We start from the raw sequence: 8,079 nt of genomic DNA, 5'->3' as shown, positions 1-8,079 counted from the left end.
AGCTTCCAAGATTTCTGCTCACAGTTGAGTCCCCAGCCGGCAGGAGTCTGAAGGTTAGGGCCCACCCTATGGCCAGTCCATGTGGGATAGGCTCTTTCAGGTAGAAGGCTGAGCCTACTAACCACATCCCTTGATCCCTGCCCCACCACCATGATGAAGGAAGCCAAAGTCCTTGCCTATGACACCAGTGGAAAAAATCTGTTTCTCCTGGGGTGTCCAAGGTACACAATGCTCCTCCCAGGAAGGACTGTGTCTGTCTGGGACTCCAGCAGCCTGCGCAAGGCCCCACAGGCCCTTTGTCTTTCAGGTTTTCTGAAACTGCCGTGGGAAGTTATCTACCACCCTCAACACACACACACACTCAGGATGACAATGAACAGAACCCGTTTACATCTGCCACTTCATTTATTTTATTTGCAGGAGGAGTTGAAACAAATTTTAAGGGAGATTTTCATTTTCCCCCTAAACATGAATCATTCAAGTAAAACCAACTTAACTATAGAAATGTAGCAAAGTAAGGGGAAAGCAGCACAACAACGCAAGAGGCAAAGGCTGGGGGGGAGAGGTGGGTGCAGTCCGCATATAACATATGCATAAATGCCTTATGATTCACCTGCTCAGGACCGCCTCCCCAGAAGGCAAGCACAAGGACCCATTTTAAGAGGATGTTTCCCCCCAAACATCTGAGAATGCTTCAACTTAAACAGCTTAAGGTTAAAAAGACAAAGAAAAAAAAAAAGAAACCCAAAAAAACCCCTGAACCACCCAGCCATAACCACCTTCCTTAATCGATCATAGGAGTTTCTTTTCATTTTATAAAAAGATTAATAAAAAATATTGAAAAAATTTTCTCATATTTGTAAAGATAATAGAATTCATAAGTTTCTTAGAAAACAGACCAGACACTGCCCTCCAGTTTCCACCCCGTTGCTGGGAGGATCAGCAGGACTAGAAAGTTTGGGATACTGGAGCTGCTGGTGGAGAACGGGGAAGTCCAGCCCAGAAGAAATCAGGAAATAGGGCTCAGGGGCACGTGAGGTGTGGTAAGGAGCAACTCCACGTGATACATGGCTGCGCAGAAAAGGGGAACACAAGGTGGTCGGAAAGGCCTTAAACTCCTCCTTGACATACAAAACCGGTTTTTACAAAGATCCAAGCAGTTTGGTCCCAAACTGAGGTGAACACTTCAAAGTTTATTCACATGCTTTTGTTTTCTCTTTCAAGAATCAAAGTTTCCCAAATTAAATGTTTCTAATATTACTACATATGCCTAAAAAAAGAAAAAAAAAAAAAAAAAGGAGGGGGCTTTTAAAATCAGGACAGGGGAAAAGAGATCGAAAATCATCAAATTAGTCATCTTAGCTCCAAATGAAATGAAATTAGAACAAAACTGTTGGTTTCTAATAGGAAACAAAAATCCAAGCATCGCTCTCCCGCCCTACCCCTGCCCCCACCCCACACACCAACAAATGAGAAAAACAGCTAAAGCCCAATGCGTTGTATTCTGCTCAAAAGCTGGGCCTGACCCCTGGGCCCCATGGCCAGCCTCCTCTGTCCAGTGGGAGACAGCGCCAGGGATGCCTCTCGCGGTAGTACAATCTGTGCGGCTGGTGGGGGGTGGGGGTAGGATTTTCAGAATCTTCTTGAGGTTCCTCTGTTAAGCTCCTCACCAGCCATCTTCCCAGCGCCTCTCTCCCCTGGGCAGGAATCCCGTCAAGGGTGGCCCCTACTCGGTTGTGGGCTGTATATTGTCCTTCTCTTCTCGGTTCTCTGTCCCACTCTCGTCGTCTTCAATCTCCCCTTCCTCCCCACTGAACTTGTCATGGGCCCACTTGGGGCTGGTACTTGATTTCCGGAACATGAACCGGCCCCGACCCCGAGGAAAGGCTCCTCGGCCCCGGCCCCGGCTCACCCACTTGTCACTGCCTTCGCCTTCACGGTCATCATGCTGAGGGGAAAGAAAATTGCCATCAGTGCCAGAGTGAACAAGATGTGGCCAGAGCTCTCTTCTCTGCACGCACCCAAATGTGCCTTTCCCAAAAGAACCTGTGCCCTAACCCAGCCTTTTGATCCTTTTCTGCACTTCTCCCTGTCCCCCACTCCAAAAATGCCAGTGGTTCAGATCCATGAGAATATCAGTTGGGTGATTTAGGAATTTTAAGGTAACAGCTTGGGCATTGTAACGATGATTGACAATGATGATGATTCACTGAGCAAGAACCCTTAATAGTTTAAAGAAAATAAAAACGTCACTGAGCACTGAAGTAAGACATTTATGTACTATCTCATTTAATTCTCCTATCTACCCTATCATTATCACCTCCCACTCTGCAAACGTGCTTAAAGCTTAGGAACTTTAAGCAACTCCATATGATTTAGTATATCCTCTCTCAAAGGGTGGGTTTGAGAAAGCCAATCACACCAAAACGTGCAACTCCATGTGAACTGGGTTGTTAGGCAGCTAAGAAAGGAGGCAATGCGGCTGGGTGCAGTGGCTCATGCCTGTAATCCTAGCACTTTGGGAGGCCGAGGCAGGCAGATTGTCTGAGCTCAGAATTTCGAGACCAGCCTGGGCTATACGGTGAAAACCCCGTCTCTACTAAAATACAAAAAAAAAAAAAAAAAAAAAAATTAGCCAGGCATGGGGGTGTGCGCCTGTAGTCCCAGCTACTCAGGAAGCTGACGCAGGAGAACTGCTTGAATCCAGGAGGCAGAGGCTGCAGTGAGCCAAGATCATACCACTGCACTCCAAATGCTCAGAATCCAATGTTGGGGCTGGGGCTTTCCTGATCCTCCACCTCCACACTCTCATTTTGTATCTCCCCTGTTTTATGCAAGGAGGCAGTGTGACGGGGTAGGAAAAACACTTAACCTACATTTCATTTTTTCTTTTTCACTTAGTTCAAGGAAAGGATTAACCTACATTTCAAACAATCCTTGCTCTGACAATCTCATGAGACAGAAGGAGGGATCCAATCAAACAATGAAGGAGAAAGCATTTTGAAAACCAGCAGTCATTACCTTATCAGCCCCATGACTTCAGAGTCTAAACCACCCCCCCACAAAAGCTAGGGTCTTAGGCTGTTGGAGCTCAGCTCAGCAGGTGTCAGCTTCTTCTGACCATGGCTGCTTGTTCACACTAAACGAATCAGGCTGGCAATACTCTCTCAGGTGGCAGATAGGAGCAAGGGAGAGGGCCTTTAATCTTTTCCCTACAGCAGTCCCACTCCAGCACCTAACCCGGGCCCAGCCAACTACAATTCCCTAGAGATAAGTTCAAAGGTCCTCTAGTAGCCTCAAAGCAGCTTCCAGCAGCAGCAACCCTAGAAAAGGGATGGTGGCCACGCATAGCCATCCACACACAACCTGTTTCCTAGCTGTCCAACTGACAATACAGATCCATTCCAGCCATTTTGGCAAGTGATGGAGATTCAGCTGCTCCTTTACCTTAGTTATAACACTCACACCAGCTTGGATCTTAGTCTGCTGTTACAGATCAAGGCCAAGAGAGCTCACTCAAGGCCAGGTACTTCAGCCTATAAAAGTATTAATCTGAGGGAGGCCCAGAGTGCACAGGAATGATCAACAGCCTAGATGAGAGAAGCCCCACTGGCATTTCATTTTGGAGAGACATCCCTTTCCTCAAAGAGATCCTGAGCGGTCTTTCTTGTCATTCTTGCATGAAGGAGTGGCAGAGAGGGACAGCGGCATCAGGGAAGGGTTATGGCTGTATCCACAGAAATGAGGGAGGCTGAGGTTGGTGGTGGGTGAGCAGTAAAACAAGTTCATAGACTAAAAAGACAAGACCAATGCTTCTTGCTTATCTTGGAATCCACAAACATCTTCAGTGATAAACCCTTTGAAGACCAGGACTGCCTCTCTAGAGGACACCCATCTAGTTAGCACTATGCAAGTACACATGCCCCAGTGCAATAATCCTGCACGTACATTTAATCGCAGTTTTGGACAAACTAATTAAGGCTTGGTATCAGCTACTCTGTGTGTCAAAGGCCCTCTAACCCTTCCTGGTTATCCCCAGACACATACCAAGTAATACTTCTTGCTTTTGGGTGTGTACTCTGGGTCCCACTCCTCTTCCCGGTTTCTTTTTTGAAAATCGTTGTTGCTGTTGTTGTTATTGTTCCCAGAGTAGTTGCCTCTGCCCCAGCCTCTTCCTCTGGCTCGAAACTGCTATTGCAATAAATGAGGGAAAAAGAACAAAGGATCATGCCAGGAATGGGGAACAAACCCCCCTGCTTTTTGTTCAAACATTTTTCTGGTGTGGAATAGACAGCTGTCTTCCAGTCATATGCTGGTCAGCTGGTTTCCAGCCATTCCCTTTCTGCTCATCTCAAGTCTGCAGCCTACACAGAGGACAAACCTGCCCCAAGGGCCTCCCTATAAACAGCAGTAGTCAAGGTTAAGTGGGGGAAGTTCTGAGACCAGAAGCCATAAGAGGCTTTCTAGCTAAGTGATTATGAACAGAAAAGTAACAAAAAATGGAAAGGCCAGGAAATGTGGGAAGGAGAACCAAAGATTCCAGGGTCTTTGGATTGGATTACTTATGTCAAAGGCAACAAAACTGGTATTCTGATGAAACGTGATCAAAGCTGGTAGGAGCAAGGGTCTCAGAGAAAGGGGGAGAGGGGAAGGTCTTACAAAGGTTCCTCGAGCTCTGCCACCTCCTCTTTCACTTGGACCCACAAAGTCTTTGGTCCCCAGTCTTGATTTGTCAAAGCCCGTGGTGCTCTCCTCTCTTTCCTCTGTCTCTTCAGTGTACTCTTCTGCTTTGTAGGAGTGAGATGACTGGGAGGAAGAGGAGGAGGATCTGGACCTGTCTCTTGCTCTCCGATGCTTCCTGTGAAAAGAGAAGAGCCAGGGTGATCAATCATCTTTCTAAGGGACACTGCTTGGCTGGGGCCTCATGGATAAGCACAGGGCAATCAAAAGTATGCCTGTGATGGAAGAAACTGATGATGAGTAACCTTATAAAGCCAGCTCACCCCCAACCTACCCACCCAAGATACTTCCTCTCAATTCTGTCAGTCATGTTCAGTGACACATCTATGTCTGAGTCTGTGATAAACATATGACATACATAGAAGCAGGAACAAAACACAGTCCATGGCCTCCAGGAGCTCAGTCTAAGATACAGGCATGAATTAATAAGGGAGAAGGAAATTAACACTATATTGAGAGCTCCAAAGTATCTGGTACTGGGCCAGATAAATAGCTTTGTATATTATCATCTGTTAGTGCGTTCTATTACTTTTATTTCTTACAGGAATGCTACCTGTCTTACAGGGTTCTCTAAATAAACACTGTGTTTAAACACTTTACACCAACATAGCTGGCATGCAGTAAAGGACAATACAACTCAGTATTATTTCCCTCATTTTACAGGTAGGAGGCTCAGGTGAGAGAAGCGAGCAGAGTCTGGATTCTAACCTAGCTCTGACTAATTATACCACGACTCCACATATTACCTCCCACTGAGCTCAAACAGGTTGTGTGACTAAGCCTAGGATCTGGCGCAACTCTCCCAGAGTTATTTCCCTTCCCTTTCCTTCATCTAGGGGAAATTACAGACTAGGGCAAATTAGCTTAATACGATGAGTCATTATCTATGTACTAAAGTCAGTACCAGCCCTGCCATGTGATAGTGGAGGTTACTGAATACCTCTAGGGGGCAGCAAGGCCAGGATCCCAGGAGTGGAGGAGTAGCAGAGCCAGCCAAATGTCAGTAACCTATCATTGTCCTTCCCTCCCTCAGTCTTCCATTATGAAAGGCATCATGCTCCCTGCTCCTCACCCACACACACTTATTCATACAAAGGGGAAATCTAAGTTACTGTGATAGGATTCATGTAACTTCAACTCTGACCCCACTAAACATCCGTGCTATTTCAAGAGGTTTTCAAAAATAAGAGTCTCTGGCCGGGCGTAGTGGCTCTCTCCTGTAATCCCAGCACTTTGGGAGGCCAAGGCGGCTGGATCACTTGAGGTCAGGAGTTCGAGACCAGCCTGGCCAACATGGCGAAACCCCATCTCTACTAAAAATACAAAAATTAGCTGGGTGTGGTGGAAAGCATCTGTAATCCCAGCTACCCAGCTACTCAGGAGGCTGAGACAGGAGAATCACTTGAACCCAGGAGGCAGAGGTTGCAGTGAGCCGAGATCATATCATTGCACTCCAGCCTGGGTGACAGAGCGAGACTCTACCTCAAAAACAAAACAAAACAAAAAAAAAAGACTCTCAAAAGGCCTCAAATTTGAGTCTTTGCATTGTCTTTTTTTGTTGTTGTTGAGATGGAGTCTCACTCTGTCGCCAGGCTGGAGTGCAGTCGTGCGATCTCGGCTCACTGCAACCTCCACCTCCTGGGTTTAAACGATTCTCCCGCCTCAGCCTCCTGAGCAGTGGGGATTACAGGCACCCACCACCATGCCCGGCTAATTTTTGTATTTTTAGTAGAGACAGGGTTTCACCATGTTGGCCAGGATGGTCTCAATCTTCTGACCTCATGCTCCACCCACCTCAGCCTCCCAAAGTGCTGGGATTACAGGCGTGAGCCACCGCATCCGGCCAGCATTGTCTCTTATTAGCTGTGTCACCTGGGTAAGTCATTCTTCAGTTATATAAAAAAAGTTCTGGCTGGGCACAGTGGCTCATGCCTGTAATCCCAGCACTTCAGAGGGCCAAGGCAGGCAGATTGCTTGAGCCCAGGAGTTCTAGACCATCCTGGGCAACATGGCAAAACCTCAACTCTACAAGAAATACAAAATTAGCCAGGCATGATGGTGTACACCTGTAGTCCCAGCTGACTGTGAGGCTGAGATGGGTAGATCACTTGAGCCCAGGAGGTCAAAGCCACAGTAGGCCAGTGATTGCATCACTGCGCTCCAGCCTGGGCGACACAGCAAGACCCTGTCTCAAAACGGGCCAGGTGTGGTAGCTCATGCCTGTAATCCCATGCTTTGGGAGGCCAAGGAGGTGGGTGGGAATCACTTGAGGCCAAGAGTTCAAGACCAGCATGGGAAACATAGCAAGCCCTCGTCTCTACAAAAAATTTTTAAAAATTAGCCGGGCATCATGGTGCATACCTGTACTCCTAGCTCAGCCTAGTTGGAAGGCTGAAGCAGGAGGATCACTTGAACCCAGGAGTTCAAGGATGCCGTGAGCTATGATCGTGCCACTGCACTCCAGCCTGGGTGACAGAGCAAGATCGTCCAAAAAAATAAAAAATAAAAATAAATAAATCACAGAATACCGGGGTTTGCAGGGGACTTGTTCAAAGTCACATCGCAAGTCAGAGGTAGGCATGTGTTCCAGGGAGAGGAAATCAGAGTTAGTAATTCAGACTCAACTCTGAAATGCTTGAGGGGTTCATGTTCCACTTCTAAGTGGCGGCCCAGGCACTACTGTACTACCACTTCCATTCCCTGCTGAGGATTCGCAGGTTCTTTATCTATGGGCGGCCCCAAAAGCTGCCAAGGCTCCTAATGCATAAGTAACACATTGGAATGGGAGACAAAGTATAACAAAAGATCCGTGTTTGAGGTCAGCTGATACTTGTGATTTTTTTTTTTTTTTTTTTTTGAGATGAAGTCTCACTCTGTCGCCTAGGCTGGAATGCAGTGCTGAGAACTCGGCTCAGTGCAACCTCCTCCTCCCAGGTTCAAGCGATTCTCCTGCCTTAGCCTCCCGAGTAGCTGGGATTACAGGCGCACGCCACCATGCCCGGCTAATTTTTTTTTTTTTTCAGTAGAGACAGGGTTTCACGATATTGGCCAGGCTGGTCTTGAACTCCTGACCACGTGATCTTCCTGCCTCGGCCTCCCAAAGTGCTGGGATTACAGGCATGAGCCACTACACCCGGCCAATACTTGTGATCGTAAGGCACATTATTCTAAGCTTGGCTTATCTTTCAAATGGGCAAAATGGATATCACACCAACTGTTCAATTTATCTCAAGGGGTTATGAAAAACTGATATAAAAACGCGGCCAGGCATGGTGGCTCATGCCTGTAATCCTAGCACTTTGGGAGGCCGAGGTGGGTGAATCATGAGGTCGGGAGTTC

At 47.1% G+C, this 8,079-nt stretch overlaps 1 protein-coding gene across 18 annotated transcripts in view; it reads right to left on the bottom strand.

Moving 5' to 3' along the window:
- Window positions 1-386: 386 nt before the first annotated feature.
- The window catches only part of THRAP3 (thyroid hormone receptor associated protein 3), a 97,721-nt gene continuing 90,028 nt past the window's right edge, over window positions 387-8,079 (bottom strand). For 11 of the 18 annotated variants that reach the window (XM_047436227.1, XM_047436226.1, XM_047436215.1 and 8 more), the window contains 3 exons: window positions 4,660-4,858; window positions 4,048-4,191; window positions 387-1,948 (listed from right to left, as the gene is read on the bottom strand). In XM_047436227.1, coding sequence (XP_047292183.1) covers window positions 1,727-1,948; window positions 4,048-4,191; window positions 4,660-4,858 — 565 coding nt within the window. In that variant the 3' untranslated portion in view covers window positions 387-1,726. The remainder of the gene's footprint in view (window positions 1,949-4,047; window positions 4,192-4,659; window positions 4,859-8,079) is intronic. The other 7 variants (XM_047436246.1, XM_047436245.1, XM_047436243.1 and 4 more) reach the window with 1 other exon arrangement.

The sequence above is a fragment of the Homo sapiens genome, chromosome 1, assembly GCF_000001405.40.
Source record: "Homo sapiens chromosome 1, GRCh38.p14 Primary Assembly".
In the NCBI taxonomy this organism is placed as follows: domain Eukaryota; kingdom Metazoa; phylum Chordata; class Mammalia; order Primates; family Hominidae; genus Homo; species Homo sapiens.
This window is presented reverse-complemented; position numbering and strand designations above follow the sequence as displayed.